The following is a 21,749-nucleotide window of genomic DNA, read 5'->3' as shown; positions in this document are numbered from 1 at the left end:
CCAGTCATTATAATCCCATTTTCTTTTTCTGATGATTGATTTTGAAAGAGGATGTGATCCTGCTGGCTCACGAGATATAAGGGGGAAATTTCTTGACGGGCTTCCTTTAAAAAAAAGAAGAAAAGAGGAGAAGAAAAAGAGAAAGTGAAAGAGGAGAGAGAAGAAGAGGAGGCAGAGGAAAAACAGGAAGAAGAGGAAGGAAGAAGAGTCATCTCTGCCTTTTAATTTGGGCAGGTTTCTTATGAATTGAGGTTGGGAGCTGAAGCAGCCACCTTGAATCCTAAAAGGAAAATGAGGAGAAGCATGGAAGCCAACATTTCTAAGAATGTTGTGCTAGATCATTTAAGTTGCCCTTGCTACTTATATCCATCGACTTCCTAATTGTATTCATGCCTATGTAAATGATGTGCTCTCTTAATTAATTTGTTTCACATTTACTATTAAAAAATTAAATTGAAAATTTAGAAAGGCCATGGTTTACTTTATGTAGATTTGTTGTCTAAGTTATCATCTTTGAACTGATATCCACTAACTGCTTAAATACTACAGGCTCTGAATACACATGTCACAGGGTGATTTTAAACTTAAACAGTATATATTATTATCACTAATAAATTTAGTACATGGTATTAATTTAAACAAGATACAAGAAAAATGTGGAAATTCCTTTAATCAAGGCAGATTTTTGGTTTTGTCAAAACCAAATAGAATAGGCAATGGCATATTTTAAATATTTGCTTTTAATTTATAAAAAAGAAATATTTCTACCTCCTCCAAACATGTACATCAGTTTCTAATGCAAATAGTAAATCAGTGAGAAGCCGCTGGTGCATTGGAGACCATTTAAACTCAGGAATACGAAACATTGTAGTCCGTGGACCTGGGCTAAACTGGCGTCGCTGTTCCTCAGTCATTGGCATTCCTCGAAATCCTAAATCAACTCGGAGATCTCGGTCTTGTTGGGTGATAGACCGACCCTGCACAGCCTAAAGAAGGAAAAGATGAACTTTTGTGGAATACAAAAGAAATGCCTCATTTTAAAATGAAACTGTGAGTATAGTAAAGTGAATAATGCTTTAATGCTTTAGCATATGACTTTAGCAGTTTAATATATTTCACATATATTATTCACCTGGTAATTCCTTGCACAGGAAACTTTTTGGGCTGAAGTCTCCATTATTGCTTTTATTTTACTATTGCAGAAACTAGGCAAGATAATCAAATACCTAAAGTTAACACCAAAGTTCACACTGAAAACCAGACCCCTTTACCCCATTAAGAGTCTTTAAATTAGACCACATTACTTCCTTAATGAAGTGAGCATATACACAGTGAAGTATACTGGATATATGTCATCAACTAATTGTAACTAAAGCACAAGATTAGAAAAAATATTACTTGACAGTTTCAAGTTAACTTTGAAGTCTGTTTCACTTACAGTACTTCAATTCAAAAACACAAATGCATTTGATAAGTTAGAAAACAAACCAGAAAAATGTCTATAAACTCCAAATGAAAAACAGGCAAGCCTAGTGTTCAACAGGCAAGCCTATTGTTCAATAAACAACGCACGATGTTTTCCTTTATTTTACATCTGTATCTAATTCAATATGCTCATCTCCTGCCAATTATCACTACAATGCAACTGCCACAAAAATGGAAATTGGCAGTTAGAGAAAAAATAAAAATACTTTCCCCACACACGATATATTATGAAGGATTCTTACTGGAGTACAAAGACACAAGACAGGCATGGTTTACTCTTCATAGTATAAACCTAATGGAAACACATTCAATGTATTTTCAATGACATTAAAAGGCAAGTGGGGCACCCAGAGGATAACAAAACCCAAGTCATTAACGGTAAATGTATTCTTATTTCTTCAACTCTTAACCATAAGGTATTATTTATCCTAGAAAATAAAGAAACAGTCATAACTCAGAGCTCAACAATTAAAATCCATATCAGAAAACATCATCTGTTTTTAGCTTTATTCCAGTGAGGTCAAAACTGAAGCACTAACATTTCCTAACAACCAGACCTAAGAGTCTTTAATTGTCTTATAACAAATTTCTATTCATGTGGTTGAACAGAAAATTCTCACTGCTAACAATTCTAATTTTTCTCAGCCATATTACCTACCTCACAGGGTTGTTGTGAGGATTAAATCTGAAAACATATAGCACAGTGCCCGGAACATAGTAGGCACTGGATAAATAACAGTTCCCTTTTCCCTTCCCCTTCATTTATCAGTTCAATCTGGGCTCCAAGTCCTCTTTTCTATAATCCACAGAACAGGGTTGGGCCTGAAGCTTAAAAGGTTAAAATTAATCAAGTATTCAGAATGAAGATCTTGAGTACAAAATGTGTAAATGTAGTCACAGAGTTATAAAATGTTAGAACTGGCAGAGACCTTAAAGGTCATCCTTTAGTACAACCTCTTGTACTAGATAAGGAAACTTAGGCCCAGAGAGGTTGAGCAAAGTTACACAGAAGAATGTGGCAGAGTTGGAAATATAATTGAGATATTTTTAGTTTCTTACATACATGAAATTATACCGCACTATTTAGTTCCATAAATTACTATTATACTATAATTCAATATAAACATGAAGTAACTGATAAGAAATTACTCTGTTTTGGTGCTAACAACTCTTCAATGCATTTTTATTTATTTCTAGAACTCATATAAGGTAGCTTACTTGTGTCGTAGTAGTTGTTTGGATTTTTCGGATTTCTTTTCCTGATTCTTTGCCATCGTCAGACCTTTCAGTATCTGAAATTATACTTCCTGCATCAATATTTGGTACAATTTTGCTACTAGAAGACTCAGTTTCCAGAGTTGTAGCAGTCATTTCAGCATACTCCAGCCCCTTAGTTGATGACGCTAAGTCTCTTTCAGAAATACTGCTCATTCCATCTGAAGTTGTATGGATTTTGAATTCTTTTTCTTCTATTATACTGGATGTACAAGTTAAGTCTACGCTACCGGTCATGTGAGCAAGCAATCCAAGATCATCACTAACACCAAGATGTACTTGTGTGTCCTGAATATTTGGAATAATGTGATTGCTAGAAAGTTCAGGAAGTAGTTTTTCCTCCTGTTTGGGTATTTTATCAAAGAGAAATGATGTACTACTATTGGGAAGGTCTTCTTTCTCATCTGCTAATGTTATCAATGGACCATTATCCTTTTCTTCATTTTTTTTAATGATACCAACACTTCCATGTACATTGTTCTGGAGTTTCTCAACAGCAGCACTATATACATTATCCAACAGAGATTCAACCTCCACAAGGGCACCATTCTCTCCACCTACTAAAGTCTCCGGTGATAAATCCATATCATCGAGCTTTACTTCTGTTGCTTCCACTTTCTCTGCTTTTATATCTACTAAAAGATCATGTACTTCCACATGTACACCACTTCCTGGTCTATCTGAATTTCCAAGAATATCATCTGACACTTTTGTTGACATGAGTAAGTCTCGAGTATCTGTGCTGACAGGGTAATCGGTCTCACTTTCTGGGCTCTGGCTTTGTGAAAGATCTTCTATCTCTCGAATTTCCATTCCACCTTTTGCTCCTGTTGTCTGTGATGAAAGACCAGAGATGGTGCTCACATTCCCTTTCTTTCCCTTTTTAATGTTTTCCTCCTCTTGTCTTTGATATTCCTCATACATTTTGGCTAGGTATTCCTTATGAGCTTCATAAGTGACCTTAGGAATAAGTAAAGAAAACATTAAGGCATTTTGTACATATCAAAAAGAAAAAACTAAATAATACAAATTAAATTGTGGAAATAGAAAAAATAATGCCAGAAAGTTTAAGACTTCAAAGCTGGCATTTGTTAGTCCTAAAGCAAGTGCTTAGTTTCATTAAGTAACTGGAAATAATCAACAAATACAGCTATATATGATTTATTATAAGGATTGCCAAAATCACACAGATAACTCAGCAATATTAAAAGCTATTTTCTTTTAGGCTAAGTATTTCAATGTTACCCAAACCAAATATGCCAGTTAACTTCCACACATTTATGTAAGCTTAAACAGAGAATAAGCAGCTAATAATATACAATAACCAAAGTACTATTACTATGTTGGTTTTCACCATCTATTGCTCATATGTGCACCCTTCCCAACAACTGATGTTAAAAAATTCACACATATCATTAAATATATAAATTTACAAGCTATTAAAATATCACAGTTTTATCCTTATATAAGCTGTTTTGGCTTTGTTACTTTACTTAGGCTTCTTTATTAATAATCAGAATACTTTTTTTTTGCACAAAGACCTGCAATGTCTTTTTCTTTGCTATTTTCAAATTTGTTAAAGCAATGATAAATCTGAGGTGTCAATACTTCACAAAATGTAAATTTATAATTGAAACAAAAGCTTTTCTAATATTTTTTAAAGTTCACAGACTTTCTCTTACAGACATGGGTTCTATTAATGTATATTTAAATAAGTTAACAGAATTTTAGATTGGGGGGACCATCCTTTAAAGAATATCTCATAATACAAAAATCCCCTTAATTTTACAGAAGAAGAAAGCAAGTCCCAAAAGTGGGGGTTGGTAACATAAGGCCCATGGGACAAAACTGCTTATCACCTCTTTGGGTGAATAAAGGTTTATTCAAACAAAGCCATGATCATTCATTTACATTATGTATTGTCTTTCACACTGAACGGCAGAGTTGAGTAGCTGCATCAGAGGCTATAGAGCCCACACAGCCTATAATATTTACTATCTATCCTTTTAAACATTTTTTTCTAACTCGTGTTCAAGAAGACTTAATGAGTCTCCTAAAATCACAAAACTCAATTATGGCACAGACTAAATTAAAAGCCATACTTCTGACACCCATGCTTCTTCTATAACACTTCATGATGAGAAACCCATAACTCTGAATTTCCAGAATCTAATGTGTATATACTTGTACAGTTTAATTCACTATTTCATTTTACCAAAGATCAAATAATACTTAAAATAGACATACAGATTTTTAAGATTAAAAATAAAGAAAAGATAAAGCAATTAAAATACCACTAAACTTAAACACTGTATTTATGATTCACTTGGAAATAAAAAAATCTGACTTCTTAAAAAAAAGTCTTAAAAAGTATATTTCAGAGACTATTTCATAAAATATTCTTCCAAGAACCAGTTGAAAGAGCAAGTGGCTCAGATTAAAGTTCCCAGATTTGCTATAAAACAGATGTATGTCAGCTTTGGGTATAAAACTCCTGATTTATAAATTTGGGGTTTGAATTAATTCATCTATAAGCCACTTTCAAGTTCTAACAGTCTATGAACAATGAGGGAAAAATACAAAACTGAGATACAGGAATCTGTCAAAATCTAAGATGCCCACAAGATGGCACCAGATGCATGTTTGTAGCCATTTAATCCACTGCAATAACTCTGATGATGTTAAAATGTTAAATCCCGTGTTACCTTGGAATGGGCTATTGAGAGGGTATCCACCCAGACTCTCCAGCCTCCCCATTCATATTTTATTGCATGATACAAAAGAATCCGGAAGATATTGTAGACCATTTCGGTAATCTTCTGTTCCTCAGAATTTTTAGGATTGATATAGCCAAGAGAAAACATCCAATCCTGCCACACTGAACACTGCAATAAGCATCTAGGGAGAAAAAAATTTGATCTCATTAAAAATATCCAAATTAAGTTAGAATTTACTATTTTGAAACTTTGATAAATAAAATAGTGAAAATATGATCTGACCTCAGTAAAGCAAGGTGTACAGTCATGCTGCACGTTATATATTCTATACTTGGAATGACTTTCTCTTATTTCTCTACCAGGAAAAATCCTAATTATCATTCAAAATCATTTTCCTAACTTTCACAGTCAGATTTACTTATTGCTTCTCTACTTTCTCACCACCTTTAGCACTCACAATGTACTTAACACATTATACATTAATCATTGCTTTATGGTTTCCCACTGGAATGTACTGAGACTGTGTACTAAGACTATCTTGTGTAGCACAAAGTCTTACACTGAACACAGTAGGCACTCAATCAATATTTGTTAAATTATAGACTCAGGCAATGACTACCCCAGAGTTCATGGCCTCAGACTTTACCCCATGTTCAAGCTAACTAGCTTAAAAATGCACAACATTCGGCCATAAGAAATATGGGGTGGAAAGCATAGATGAAAATGGGGAAATCCAACACAATTACAACTGAAAGTTCCATTGGTGATAGATAGGTACCACTAAAAGGGATATTACATTCTAAATAAGAGTTTGTTTATATGTATATTCATATATACAATTAAAATATAATATCCACGTAACAAAATAAAAATAATATAAAAATAAATAGAAGAATACCGAATACAGATTATGTCAAAGAAACATAAAATGCCTTTTCTGATGATTAAAAGTATTTAGCAATATGGAAAAGATTTGAAATGAATTGAAAATCTAAAAGAGAGAAAATATTAATTATGGAATAAAGTGTTGTTACAGTATCCAAACTGCTTACCTTCTATTTTCACGGCTGTTACTGAAAAGTTTTATCATATCAGATAAAAATAAACGACGAACTTCCATCAGCTCTGCACTTGGTGTAGAGTTTTTTAACAAAGTTGCCACCACTTTAAGAATCACTGTAAACAAAGAAAAAAAACTTGTAGATTTGTAACCATATCCTATGTTCAACTCAAAAAGTATTACCAACTTTCAAATAAATACTTAACACTATAAAAGGTGAGTTAAAACTGTCATGAACTAGGTAAACACCATAATGATTTAAGGGGTTAGGAAAAGTTTTGATTTAGTCTCATATGTTGCCATGCGCCTACCACAATACAGTAAAGAACTGCCATTTGCTCACTTGGATTCTGAATTTTCACTGTAGAATCTGGCTCTGGATGTGGTTTGTGTACGACCTGAGTACATACTTGTTCTGTCAAGATCTGAAAAATGAAGAATTTGAACTTCATTTAGAAAACAATTTAAATAATAATTGCAAAATATAGATATACAATGAACCTGCAAAAGAAATGTCAATGCAGTCCAAACCAAAAGAAACATCTCTTCTAAAGGGACTTTTTTCTTTCTTTCTTTCAAGACGGAGTTTCACTCTTGTTGCCCAGGTTGGAGTGCAATGGTGCAATCTTGGCTTCAACCTCCACCTCATGGGTTCAAGTGACTCTCTTCCCTCAGTCTCCCAAATAGCTGGGATTACAGGCATGTGCCACCACGCCTGGCTAATTTTTTGTATTTTTAGTAGAGACAGGGTTTCACCATATTGATCAGGCTGGTCTCGAACTCCTGACCTCAGATGATCCACCCGCCTCAGCCTCCCAAAGTGCTGGGGTTACAGGTGTGAGCCACCATGCCCAGCCCTAAAGAGACTTTTTAATGAATTCCACATACTTCTAAACTCTTTAACTCTGTATTCACCAAATTTTATTTATTATTTATACATACAAAACCAGAACCAGTATCTATAGAAGGAAAGATTAGGAAATTAATGAATTTATTGTTTGAAATGCCTTTTCAGTGTTCCTAAAATTATTTATGAACTACTTTTTTTTTTTTTTTTTTTTTTTTTAGAGACAGAATCTCACTATGGTACCCCCAGGCTGGACTGCAGCGGCACAATCATGGCTCATTGCAGCCTCCAACTCCTGGACTCAAGTGATCCTCCTGCCTAAGTCTCCCAAGTAGCTGGGGCTACAGGTTCATGCCAACACACACAGCTAATTATTTTTCTCATTTTTTGGTAAAGATGGGGTCCACTTTATCGCCCAGGCTCATCTTGAACTCCTGGGCTCCTGAGATCCTCCTGCTTCAGCTTCTCAAAGTGCTGGGATTAAATGCATGAGCCACCACATCTGGCCCCTACTTCAGTAAGTGTGACAAGGGAAAGTTCTTCCTAACAATGTGGCTCATTGTCATTTACTAATGAGTTTTTTAAATTATTCCTTTCAAATACAAAAAAACAGTTGACCAAATAAAGGAAAGAGAAAATTCTAAAACATTTACTAACTTTCCCACTAAAATGTGGGAGCAGGATTTTGAACATCATCTTCACTGTTATATTCCTAGTAATCAGCACTAATGCCTGACACACAACAGCATTCAGTAAATATTTGTTAAATTAAAGAATAATTAACCTAATTATATATCAATAATGTATGTACAACTGCTCACTGTATTTTAGGCTTGAGTTTGTGTTTATCTCTTACATAAACCCTATGAGGTTATATTTAATACAGACATCATTTTATATCTGTGATTTAATTTCCTGTTTAGCTTTAACATGGCAAATTCTGAATAAACAGTTAAACCTAAGTCAAGTACAAAAACTGCTGCAAAACCACCAACGTTAGTTGAAAGGACAATTGAACATAGCTATATTGTAGAAGCTGAAGATGGAAAAAGCAAATTGAGAGAGAGGGATGGTCTCTTCTGATTAGAAAAGGACCACGACATCCAGAAGTTTCATTTTCCTTCCCCTTCTGCTCAGACTAAGACAGGACATTTACATAAGTATATTAGGAATGTTCATAAAAAAGATATTGACCTGAAATAAAAACTGACCTACTTTATTAAAGAATATAGCATTTAATTACCCCCGTTCCCCTCATTCTCATACCTCTGATGAAACTAAACACTTACTTGTTAAAACTAAACAGCATTTCACAACTTTCTAAACAAAGGACCCCAAACATGCACTCCTAATCAAACGGAGTTGACACGAGATAAAATTTATTTGAAAACCATATACTAAAGAACAATCACTTATTGCTTGGTATATACGTATAAGTAGTTTTCACAACAACTTGCCCCGAAGACCCTGGTGTGTACCTATAGCCCAGTGGATGAGATCCAAGAAAATTGTGGTTATAAATAAAGGATTCAAAATAACTTCAGACGAGCTTAAAGGAAATCAGGACCTACTCTCCCGTGATAGTTAAAGTGTTTTCAACCAAAAGAGAAGAAATCACATTGCACAGGAAACAAAAGTGTCACCAGTTTTTATATTGTCTTTTTAAGTCCCTACTTTATCATCTAACAATGAAAAGAATAACTGCCTTGCCTATCTAATAAAACTGCTAGGAAGATTAAATAAAGCTCCATATGTGAAAGTGCTTTGAAAACTATAACATATTCAAATATAAAGGTTTTTAAAATGACAAACATATACTCAGAAACTCAATTCAACATGTATTTATTAATAACCAGTTATGTGCCCTCCCTCTGCTAAATGTTTGCAGACTGAAAATACATTGCTAGGTGCAACTTCATTTCTAGTAGCAATTTATTTAATTATTGTTCTGGAGGCAGGCATAAATGCATGCCCCAATAAAGTAACAAAACATGATAGACTATCATTAAGAACCTATGTGGCCAGGCATGGTGGCTCACACCTGTAATCCCAGCACTTTGGGAGGCCGAGGTGGGTGGATCACAAGGTCAGGAGATCGAGACCATCCTGGCTAACACGGTGAAACCCTGTCTCTACTAAAAAATACAAAAAATTACCCGGGTGTGGTGGCAGGCACCTGTAGTCCCAGCTACTCAGGAGGCTGAGGCAGGAGAATGGCGTGAACTTGGGAGGTGGAGCTTGCAGTGAGCCGAGATCACGCCACTGCAGCCTGGGCGACAGAGTGAGACTCTGTCTCAAAAAAAAAAAAAAAAAAAGAACCTATGTAAGTTTAAAAAGGGAGAAAGGGAATAATGAAATATAAATAAAAAGAGATGAATGTAGACCCAAACATTCTAATGAAAGAGCAGGACTCAAGATGGGCCCCAAAGGTTTGACTGGATTGGTAAGAGATATGCATAGTAACCCCAAACCCCCACTAAAACAAAATTGTACAGAGGTTCAGAGCTGGATATGGACATGAAAACCAATGTGTATTTAACACTTAGAGCACATCTCAATTCATACCAGCCACATTTTAAGTGTTCAACAGCCACATGTCCCCAGTGGCTATAATACAGGTAATCGACAGGGAGGGAAACAACAATGAATCATAAGCATGGAGGTAACTTTACATGCTATTTACAGAGATACACCTGAGCCCAGCATTACACATTGAAATTTCATTTTATAAATGGAATTATTTTGCAATTCATGTGTTACAGAACTTTAGGCTGAAGCAGGGGCTACTGAAGCTATCTTTCTGATGCACCTGCTCCCCAGCTTCATCATGCATAAATTTTGTAGTATTAGTAGGCTCAACTTTTTGAGATGGGGTGGTTAAAAAAAAGGCAAACTATTAACCCTGCTGTTGCATCTAACTGCCACTGTATTTGGGTCAGAGAATCTTTACAGGTTTGGACAAGCTACCTAACTTTGTGACTTTCTTTTTCTGTGAATAGAAAGTTTGAATAAGATGGTATCTAACATACTGTCCACCTCTGAAATTCTATAATTTTGAGAAAAACTTTGATTATTAAGTGCTTAAAGTTGACTAACTCGTAAAATGATTGCACTCATAAATTGTTATATCCTTATAGAAACAGTTAATTTAAAAAATATATGTTTTCCTTTAAATTGGTTAGTTATTACTATAAGGAACAAAGCTCTCATTTAGGTTATAAGATCTTACATTTGGCTCCTTGTGTCACCACTACATGTTTAACTAAATTAAGGGAAGAGTATGCAAAGAGAACCCATAAAGCAAAAATAATATCACAATGAAGTAATGAAACAGATATTATTGCTGAGATTTACAAGTGTATTAAACATAAAAATCTACTTGTTTTGCCTGCAGAAAACATATTCTACAATCAAACAATTCTTAAGTGTATTAGAGAGTACTACAAATCATTAACAAAAGGAAAACATAATTACTCATAATTTAGAGATGGAGTAACAAAGCAAAACTAAAGATACAAATAGAATTTAAAAGATAAGTTTCATAAATATTACAATTCCTAAATAATATGTATATAAAATAGTTTTGAGTAATTTCAAAAAGAGGTCCATTAAAGTTAACTCACTTCTTAGTATATATCCTACAGAATAAATTCACCTCAGAAAACTATAGACATAAATAATTTATTAATTTTTTTTGGTTTTCAAAATAATCAAGATAGATTTTTACATCTTCACAACTTATACAATGTTGTCTGACATGTCCTGCTAAAAATCTGATTTTGTGCCTTAATTTTTTTTTTTTTTTTTTGAGACAGAGTTTTGCTCTTCTTGCTCAGGCTGGAGTGCAATGGCATAATCTCGGCTCACCGCAACCTCCACCTCCCGGGTTCAAGCGATTCTCCTGCCTCTGCCTCCTGAGTAGCTGTAATTACAGGCATGCGCCACCACGCCTGGCTAATTTTGTATATTTAGTAGTGATGGGGTTTCTCCATGTTGGTCAGGCTGGTCTCGAACTCCCAACCTCAGTTGATCCACCCACCTCGGCCTCCCAAAGTGCTGGGATTATAGGCGTGAGCCACCGAGCCCGGCCTGTGACTTCAAATTTATTGTTTATTATATTACAAGCATCTTATCAAACTTAAAAGTTTCAAAGGTCACTATAACATAGTCTTTATCCTAATAAGACTTCAAAAAAATTATTAAAATAACAAATTTCTTTTCTTTTTTTTTTTTTTTTAGAGCCAGTGTCTTGTTTGTCGACCAGGCTGGAGTGCAGTAGAACAATCTCAGTTCGCTGCAACCTCTGCCTCCCAGGTTCAAGCTATTCTACTTCAGCTTCCCGAGTAACTGGAATTACAGGTGCACAGCACCACACTTGGCTAAATCTTTTGTATTTTTAGTAGAGACTGGGTTTCACCATGTTGGATAGGCTGGTCTTAAACTCCTGATCTCAAGTGATCCACCCACCTCAGCCTTCCAAAGTGCTGGGATTACATGCATGAGTCACTGTGCCTGGCCTCCTACTCTACTCTACTCTACTCTACTCTACTCTACTCTAAAATATCATTATCAACACCATAAGTTGGTTCTTTATTATTTCTGCACTTAATCTTACACATTCGTAGAGTTGTAGTAATATTTATTCTGATGCATTGCTGAGATTAAGGTGATTTCCCCAAACAGAAAAAAGAAAATGAAGATTAAAAAAACATTTCAAACTCTGGATTATCAAACAACTAATTCTTGCTAAGAGTACACAACCTGGTTGATGCTAACAAGATGAATTAAACCTAAGCAGAGAGTCTGGAAGCGATTTCCTTTTTCAGTTAAATTTCCTTTACTATGTTAACAAAAATTAAATTGATACCCATCACACAAGTTAATCTTTTTGCAACTAGATGCGACACAGCAAAAGATGTGATGTTTAAACTCTGGTGATCCAGAAACAGTAATCCACTGCCCTGTCATTCTGATAATAAAATTTGGTTTGGCCATAGTATTAAAGCTTATGTTGAAGACTCTTTCTGCTATTTTGTAGGATTAACAATGATAACCAATCATTTATCATCTCTCTCTTTTGGCATTTTGTACACTTACATTAACTTTTCTTTTTAGAATATGCATTCATTATAAACTCAAAGTCCTTGAAAAAATTATTTAAAGTAACCATAAACATTATTCTATTTTAAAAACAAGTATTATTACTAAAATTGGTCAGAGGTCTGTAAGTTGGTTCCTTCATCATTTCAGGAGCTCTGCCTCATCCCACATCCAGTATCAGAGAATTCAAACTTATCTTGAGTTTTCCTCATCTAAGACACAGGACCAGCAATTAGTTGGCTTTGTTTTGTGTAGAATATCACCAGAGACCAAAATCTGGATACTAGGTATACACAGGAGTATAGGTGGTGGGTAAAAACGCTGCTGTACTTGTGTTGAGTCACTTTTCAGGAAGACTAATAGAAATACATATATGTGTGTATACATGTATATGAAATTTTCTTATTTAAAGGTTAGTACTACACAATGGTTTTTCAAATTCAACATATTATGTTATTATGCTACACTCAATATAAAGTTGCACTGACTACTCAGACTCTCTATTATGGATAAGAGGTCAAAATAAGCAGATGCTCAAAAATTCACATAGGTAAAACAATGATTAAAAACTTACATAGGCATCATTGACCAAACCAGTTAGTAGGTCCAAAAAATCAAAACATAAACACGTGTTCATGAATATTAGGCACTAGCCTTCAGAAGCCTAATCTGATATTGTAGCAGGTTTTGATTCAGAGGAGGATTTTAATGCTGTCAACTGAGGAGAGATTCTGACATTTTTGCATTATGTATATATATCATGGAACCTACCTATTTTATGATTATTTATTAGTGGCATGACATACAGCAAATTATTTAACCTGTGAGTCTTAGTTTGTCTGTTTTCACAAGCAAAAAAAATACCATTATCATAGGGTAGTTATAAGATCTGAAACAATGTACATAAAGAATTTACCATGTTTGTCATAAGAAGTGCCCAATAAAAAACAGTTACTATGATGAGGGAAATACAATATCAGAATAAAGAAAGAAAATGACCTCATTATACTCTGCATAGGGAAAAGCCATTGTGTTAGTACTTATTCAGTTCTGCATGCCAAATATTGAAACAATATTAAAACACTACTATAATTCAAAAAGGCATTGTTCAGAAAGGCATAGTCTACTAATCTTGTGATTTGTGGAATGATTGACACAAAGTCGGAATATTAAGCTCAGAAACAAACAAACAAACAATTCAGAGCAGTCAGTAGATTTCCTCACTAATCTAAAGAGCAGCCACTCTTAAATTTACTGATAAAATAGAGAAAAAATTAAGTAGTTAAAAGTAATATTATAGAGCAGGGGTCAGAAAACTATGGCCTGTGGGCTAAATCTAGCCTGCCACCTGTTTCTGTAATACAGTTTTACTGGTACACAGCCTGTCTGGTTCATACTGTCTATGGCTGCTTCTGAGCTACAACAGATTTGAGTAGTTGTGACAGATACTGTATAGCCCACAAAGCCTGAAATATTACTATCTGTCCCTTTACCAGAAAAGTTTGCCTTCCCAGCTATAGATAAATATTTTGTGATAAATATATTTGTAATTATAAGTGCAAAAAGCTGGACAAGAAAACTATATTTAGGATAACATTTTATAAAAGTTCTGTGTGCATATGTGTATGAGTTGAGAAATATATATATATATTCTTAAGTATTAATCAGTATTTGCTAAATTTTATTTTGGTGCTTTTCTACATTTTCCAAGTTTTTGCAATGATGAATATTAATTCTGACAGAAGACTATAATACAGCTTGTAATAAAAAGAACAACAGAGGGGAGTTAAATTTCTCTGTGCTGCTGTAGAGCAGTGGTCAACAAACTTTTTATAGATAAGATCAGATAGTATTTTAAGATTTGTGGATCATATAATCTCCATTACAACTACTCAACTCTGTAGTGTCAAGTGACCAATGGACTTTACTTAATGAGTTATGTTCTATAAAACTTTATTTGTGCATAAAGGAAGCAGCCTTAAACCCCCTTGCATGCAACTCTTTCTCTTGAGTACACCCACACTCCCCTTTCTTGAGTTTGTACTTTTCTCTTTGCAAGAAATCTCCATGCTATCACTATTTTGTGACTCATCCTTGAACTCCTATTATCAAGAGCCCGAACACCAGCTGGGGTCAAGGTCCCACCAGTGTTTGGAAACCTCGCCCAGCCCACCAGTATTATCTTTATGATGAGCCAGCCTGGAGCATCATCAGCCTCATTTTAGAATCACTGGCAGTTGGTTGTCCCAAGAACAAGTCAAAGCCAAGGGTAACTCTCTTTCAGAAAATGGGGTGCAACAGCCAAAGAACAGGACCCTAAATTTTAATACCATCTTGTAATTAGATCGTTTTTTGTGAACATCAGAAGAAATGGACTCAAATATTGTATGTACAGGCCTTCATAGCTCTTTATCAAAACCCTGAGCTTTGTAGGAATTCCTGCCTCTGTTATACTCACACCCTTTCCTTTAAGGGAACCAAATGGGGAACCAGATATCCTAAATGATCCCCTTTTGGAAAATATCAAACAACTAATTAGTTGGAATTAGGAAATATCAAATAACTAATCCAGAGCCTTCCCTCACCTCCTGACCCAGACACAGTCTGGCACCCACAGCTTCTCCCTCTTACCCAGCTCCACCTTTAAGTCCTCAGTCTTCTCCTAGTTCCACTGTCTCCAGCACCCAGACTCCTACTAGTCCGCCTCCTTAACATCCTATATAACCTTCCCTACCAAGGGAACTGAGCCCTGCTGGGGTCACCTGCAGTGGTGTTTCCTACCCTCCTAAGGGACCATTCTAAGTTATGTCCACTTAGGGAGGTAGCCAATGGGGATGCTGGGATCATTCATCAGGTGCATGTACCTTTGATTTTCAACTAAATTCATGAAGGAATTCTGGGCTTTCTCACTCTCATTTGAGTTAACTTGGGGAGATATTCATAACATCTTGTCCATGTGTTGCACCCCTGAAGAAAAGCAGCATATTTGGGCAGAGGCCCAGGCTTATGCTAACAATCTGTCATCTGGGGACTCTGAAGAATATGGTATGAGGGCCACATCTGTGCCTAACAATGACCCTAACTGGAACTATCAACAGGGCCAAGTTGATCTAAGAAAAAGAAATCATATGGTGACTTGTTTAGTGAAGGGAATGAAAAAATGTAACACCAAGCCTGTGGACTATGATAAAATAAGGGAAATAAAGAAAGGATGAAAACCCAGCTTTGTTCCAGAGATGCCTTGTGGAGGCCCTAAGAAAATATACTAACATTGACCCCCATACTGATGCTTGCCAAACTTTACTCGGGACACACTTTATCAGCCAGTCAGCACCTGACATCAGAAGAAAACCACAGAAATTGGCTTTGGGATCCCAAATGCCTATTAATCAAATGCTTGATGTGGCTTTTGTGGTATTCAATAATAGAGATAGGGCTGAATATGCTGAAAGGACCTAGCATGGCAAACAATGAGACAGCAGCAGGCCCAAATGATAGCAGTCACTATAAGCAGCATCCTGCAACCTCAGAGTCACCCAGAGGGATGCTTCACCCATGGACCAAGCAGACCTACCAGAAAACTTAAAGGTAATGGTTGCTGCTTCAAGTGTGGGGAGCTGTGACACAGGCGCAATACCTGTCCCAGCCAAGGGAGCCCAACCAGACCCTGTCCTCACTACAAGCAGGAGGGCCACTGGAAAAGGGAATGCCCTCAGCTCCAAAGGGAGAGAAGGAAACTTGAGGCCATAATGGTTATAACTGAGGACTGAAGGGACCCAACGTTCCTGGCGGCTCCCACAAAAGCATGGTCCTCACAACTAAGGAGCTTTGGGTAACTCGACATGGCAGGAAATAATATTAATTCCTTAATTGATACAGGGGCAAGTTACTCTGTCCTAAAGGCCACTCTTGGACCTTATCTTCCAATAACTGCATTGTCATGGATGTTGATGACACTCCAAAATCAAAACGCTTTACCTTACCCCTGAGCTGCAGGCTACAAAACTCTATGTCCCATTTCTTTATTGGAATGGGATTTCCTGGCCACAGTTGGAGTCACTTTATGTTTATCAGGCCCTGGGAAACATTTCTTTCAAGTATTGGCAATGCTTGTTTTTTCGATACCAGTATCAGACAAACAGAAGATTCCTTCCAAAGTAAGATCTGGAAATGGAACCACAAGTATGAGACCAAGAAACTCCTGGGAAAGTAATACATGGTCAGCTAGTGATCATCTCTTTAAAAGACAAAAATAATTTCCCACATAAGCATCAATATCTCCTCAAACAAGAAGCCAGGTGAGGACTCTAACCTGTAATTAAGAAGTTTTTAAAACATGGCCTCCCAGTTCCATGTCAGTCTCTTTGTAATAGTCCTGTCCTCCCTGTCCAAAAACAAAATGAAGAATATTGTCTAGTTCAAGGCTTATGAACCATTAATGAGGCTGTAATTCCCTTACATCCTAAAGTGCCAAATCCTTCTACCACATTTACCCAAATATCAGAAGACACCAATTGGTTAATGATATTAGATCTTAAAGATGCTTTCTTTTGTATCCCTTTATGCCTTGACTGTCACTATTTGTTTGCTTTTGAGCGAACTAATCCTGAAAATAGTATTTCCTGGCAGTATACCTGGGCTGTACTGCCTCCGGGCTTTAGGGATAGCCATCACTTGTTCAGAAATGCCTTGGCAAGAGAATTAAGGGAACTAGAGCCAGAAAGGGAAGCCACACGCCAATATGTGGATGACATCCTTGTATGCAGACCCACTAAAGAGGCCTCAGATAAGAATGTTATTCAAGTTCTAAACTTCCTGGGAGAAAGGGTATCCAGTCTCTCCACCCAGGGCCCAGACTTCTAAACTGGAAGTAAAATATCTGGGGTACATCCTAAGCCCAAGAAACTACACCATGTCCATCGAACAAAAGGAAGCTATCTTAAAGGTCAGGCCTCTACAACCGAAGAAGCAACTCAAAACTTTCCTGGGTATGACAGGAATTTGCAAGATTTTGATCCCATGATTTAGGCTCATTGCTAAGCTACTGTATGAAGCTCTAACCGTGCCAAAGCATGAACTACTTGAATGGTCAAGGAAACAACAAGAGGCTTTATGTTCTGGCTGAACAAAGAGGGGTTTGCACAGTAATAAACCACACCTGTTGTTCTTATATTAACAATTCAGGATTAGTTGAACTGAAAGTTCAAAAGATTTACTAACAGGCTACCTGGCTACATAATTTCAATATAATCCCACTGCTCAAACCATCTGGGACTCCATCAAAGGATACCTACCAACTGTGACATGGTTCCTCCTTCCTTCGACCTTTAATAGCTCTCTTATTACTATGAATCTTTGTCCTTACTTGTTTAACCTCCTTGTAAATTTTGTGTCTTTTACATTACAACAGTTCCATGTCAAAATGATGGTCATGCAATGATTCCAATCCCTGCTTTGGATTCAGAGTCTCCTGATGACTCACCCTTAGAACCCTCAGGCCAGGCAGCCAAAGATTTCCATACCCTTGCCAGGCAGGGCCAACATCTCTAATCAGCAGGAAGTAGATAAAGAAGACCGACCTTCTCCCTCATCAGCCCATAAGAATAAGAGATGGACATCTCTGAAGGGGAAGGGGAAATGAAACAGGAATAATAAGGGTGGTTGCAGGAGAACAAAAAACTCCAGGCAGCAGTTTCGCATGACTAGCAAAAGGAAACTGTTGAAATAGCTTCAGAAACTAGGGGTTGACAAGACCCTGAAAAGCCAGGATGAGAGCCAAGATAGCTAAGGCTAACTGCACCCAGTATGGCACTGGATTTGATGGAGGTTCACCTAGGACCTCATTATACACTCACTGACATACTAAATCACACACTCACCAGCACCATAATGGTTCCAGGAACACCCATATTTGGAGTAAAACTAGATAGCATCACAGTTCTGGGAAATATCTACCCTTTTACTGTAATCTTTATGAATATTCCATCCATCCCTTGGTTAGAAGAAATTCATAAAGGTAGCAGCCCCAAAAACCCTTGCATGCAACTCTCTCTTAAGTATACCCACACTCCCCTTTCCTGAGTGTGTACTTTTCTCTTTGCAATAACTCTCTGTACTTTTCCTTAAAAGAACCCAAAGAAACAAAAACTTTTATTTGCAGAGACCGAAATTTGAATTTCATATAATTGAACACATCCCAAAATACACTTTTTCCCCCATCATTTAAAAATGTAAAACCTATCCTGTTTGAGGACTGTGCAAAATCTGCAATTGACTTGATCTGTTCCATGGCTTACATGAAAAGAAACAGTATTAGAGAAGTGTAAATTTGTTTTTGTTTTTTTTTTTGTTTTTTTTTTTGAAGGGGACAGGGTCTCACTTTGTCACTCAGGCTGGAGTGCAGTGGCGCGATCTCAGCTCAGTGCAGCCTTGACCTCCTGGGATCTAGCAGACCTCCTGGGATCAAGCAGTCCTCCTGCCTCAGCCCCGCAAGTAGCTGAGATTACAGGTTAATTCAAAATTATAGTACAATTCCATTCAGAAGCTTAGCATCTCCCTTTCTCAATGTCTCTCATTTTTATTTTTAAAACATTTTTATAAAGAAATCTACAATGATGAGATATTCTGTTTAATGTTTTCTGACCACTGCTCTTCTGAGTTAGGAATAATATTATGGATATTTAGTAGTACCTGTAAGTCTTCTCTTAGCATGACTATAATGCCCTTGTATAACAGACGCAAGGCCTTGCCATCTAAATCTATAACAAAATAATCTACACTCTGCTGTATTTCAAAGTGTGAGATTAAAAATCCACTTTTCTTTTCTTGTTTTGACATGATGGGTATGCACTGGTATTTAAAAGCAGAAAACTTAGGTTTGGCAATACAAGTGGTACATGAAACACTGTTGAGGTATTACATCACCGTAATTTCTAGTTTGCCAAGCAACAGTGCAAGGTGAGGAGAGCATAACAAATATTCTTGTTACAACTCTTTAACTCTGCGGTCGTGGCACAAAAGCAGCTACACGCAACAGCTAAACAAATGAGTGTGACTGTGTTCGCTGAAATTTGAAAATCCTATACATTTTACAACTCATATATTATTCTTTTTTTGATTATTTTCAACCATTTAGAAATATAAAAAGCTTCCTTAACTTAGAGCCATACAAAAATGGATGCTGGCAGTTAGCTCTTGTGCTAGAGAAAAAGAACTGGGACCACTGAAGATCAGTTATAGGAAAGCAGAGTTAAGGTTAATGTAAGGGGACATTACTAACATTTTACTAGCATTTAAAAATGAAAGTAGCCACCCTGTGAGGTAGTATACCTATTTCCTAGAAAATACTGAACCCAAAACTGTCCCATTTGTTGGAAGTGATAAAAAAGGAACCTCTAAATTGAAATGATGAGATCCAAAGATGCTTCCAGATATCATTTTTACAAATAATTCTTACCGAAATTTATCCCAGTAGCAACTCCAGCTTAATACTGGCAGTGGATAGCTAATAGAAGCAGAAAGAGAGAGAGTAGGAACGAGAGGATAAAAACAGAGGGGTGGGGATGGGGAAGCAGAACTAATACTACATAACGGATGTAGTTTATGTGAGAAAGACTTTGTGTGAAGCCAGTCAGCCAACCCATACAAGAAGAAAAGCTCTTGGATCGACATAAAGAAATTGGCAAAAATTGTACATGGATATGTTTTAAAATAAAATAAAAATATAAGGTATATATTCATTTTTTACCATTAAACCATTTTCTGGTTTAATTAGCTTTTAGATTAACAGACCAACTACTCATCTCAATTGCATAGATTAAGAGGGTTTCCACTGTATACACTTAAAACTTTCATCACACATTTTTTATTTTTACCTCATAAAGTGTGTTGTATGTGGTGACAGTCACAGTGTTTGTATGCAACATCAGCCTTTCTCCAAGAAGAGTGAAAAGACTATGGGTGTGCATAATTTCAACTTTTCTCCTGGAGAGAAGGAGGAAAAATAAAACACCATGAAACACATTGGATTCTCCGATCACATGACTTTTAGATAAGAGAGAACAATTTATAAGCAGATACAGAATAATACAAGTAATTATTTTCATGAACTTCCATCTATAGAAACAACAGTTTGTAACACAACTGTATCCTAAAGTTCCAAGACTATTAGTTAAAAACTTTTCAAATAAAATATCTGTGTGAACTAAAATGTGAAATGTACAAATTATGGAATATTACATACATGTCATTGTTATTATTTTCAAATTTCAAATAACTATTTTGAAGTTATTTTATTGGGTTAAAATTATTGGTATCCCCTAACATACAGACCACATAATTTTTAAATCATGCCTGTACAAATTCAAAGTTTATAACATAGGCTGTAACAAACCTTAATATCAAGAACTAAAACTATGGTTAAAAATAAATACTCTAGCTTAATTTTGGTGTCATAAAACAAAATAATTCTGCATAATTAAAGAGAGTTCATCATTGCTTGTATTTGTGGTCTACCAATGGATTTAAAAAATATCTTTCTACTTAATGTTGCCTGATTTAATTGTGTCCCTCCCACACCCATACTCAGGATAGAAGGTTCCATTAAAGGCCTCCTGGAACTCTTAGCTCTAGCTCAAGAATTACTACAGGCCTCTCATTTGTGTCACTTCCTTAGAATTCAAGATCTGGGCCGGGAACAGTGGTTCACGCCTGTAATCCCAGCACTTTCAGAGGCTGAGGTGGGTGGATCACGAGGTCAGAAGTTCGAGACAAGCCTGGCCAATGTGGTGAAACCCCATCTCTACTAAAAATACAAAAATTAGCTGGGCGTGGTGGCACATGCCTGTAGTCCCAGCTACTCAGGAGGCTGAGGCAGAAGAATCGCTTAAACCTGGGAGGTGGAGGTTGCAGTGAGCCGAGATCGAGCCACTGCACTCCAGCCTGGGCAAGAGTGAGACTCCATCTCAAGAAAAAAACAAAAAAACAAAAAAAGAATTCAAAATCTGGATCATCTTCTCTCCCAATTCTCAGTATTTCATTTCTTCAATTTTCTATTGTTCTCTGGATTGGCAACTGTGACACAGCCTGACAAAGTAATCACTAAACTCTGGTTCCTTTCTTCCTTGGTCCACATCTGTATTACATTTCCAGCCTCTCTTATAGCTAAGTGTGACTATTTAACTGAGTTCTAGCCAATAAAATGTGAAGAGAAAAGTTGTAGATTATTTTTAGTCCTGACCCACAGGAAAAGCACTCATGCACATTT

The 21,749-nt window shown here is 36.3% G+C and overlaps 1 protein-coding gene across 13 annotated transcripts in view; it reads right to left on the bottom strand.

Moving 5' to 3' along the window:
* Nucleotides 1–21,749, bottom strand: part of NBEA (neurobeachin) — a 730,467-nt gene that overhangs the window by 510,001 nt on the left and 198,717 nt on the right. For all 13 annotated transcript variants that reach the window (XM_047430271.1, NM_001385012.1, XM_006719803.4 and 10 more), the window contains 6 exons: nt 20,359–20,467; nt 6,881–6,962; nt 6,530–6,653; nt 5,466–5,658; nt 2,704–3,720; nt 769–986 (listed from right to left, as the gene is read on the bottom strand). In XM_047430271.1, coding sequence (XP_047286227.1) covers nt 769–986; nt 2,704–3,720; nt 5,466–5,658; nt 6,530–6,653; nt 6,881–6,962; nt 20,359–20,467 — 1,743 coding nt within the window. The remainder of the gene's footprint in view (nt 1–768; nt 987–2,703; nt 3,721–5,465; nt 5,659–6,529; nt 6,654–6,880; nt 6,963–20,358; nt 20,468–21,749) is intronic.

Source organism: Homo sapiens, chromosome 13 (genome assembly GCF_000001405.40).
Source record: "Homo sapiens chromosome 13, GRCh38.p14 Primary Assembly".
In the NCBI taxonomy this organism is placed as follows: Eukaryota; Metazoa; Chordata; class Mammalia; order Primates; family Hominidae; genus Homo; species Homo sapiens.
Note: the sequence above shows the minus strand (reverse complement) of the source record. Positions and strands in the feature narration are given on the sequence as shown.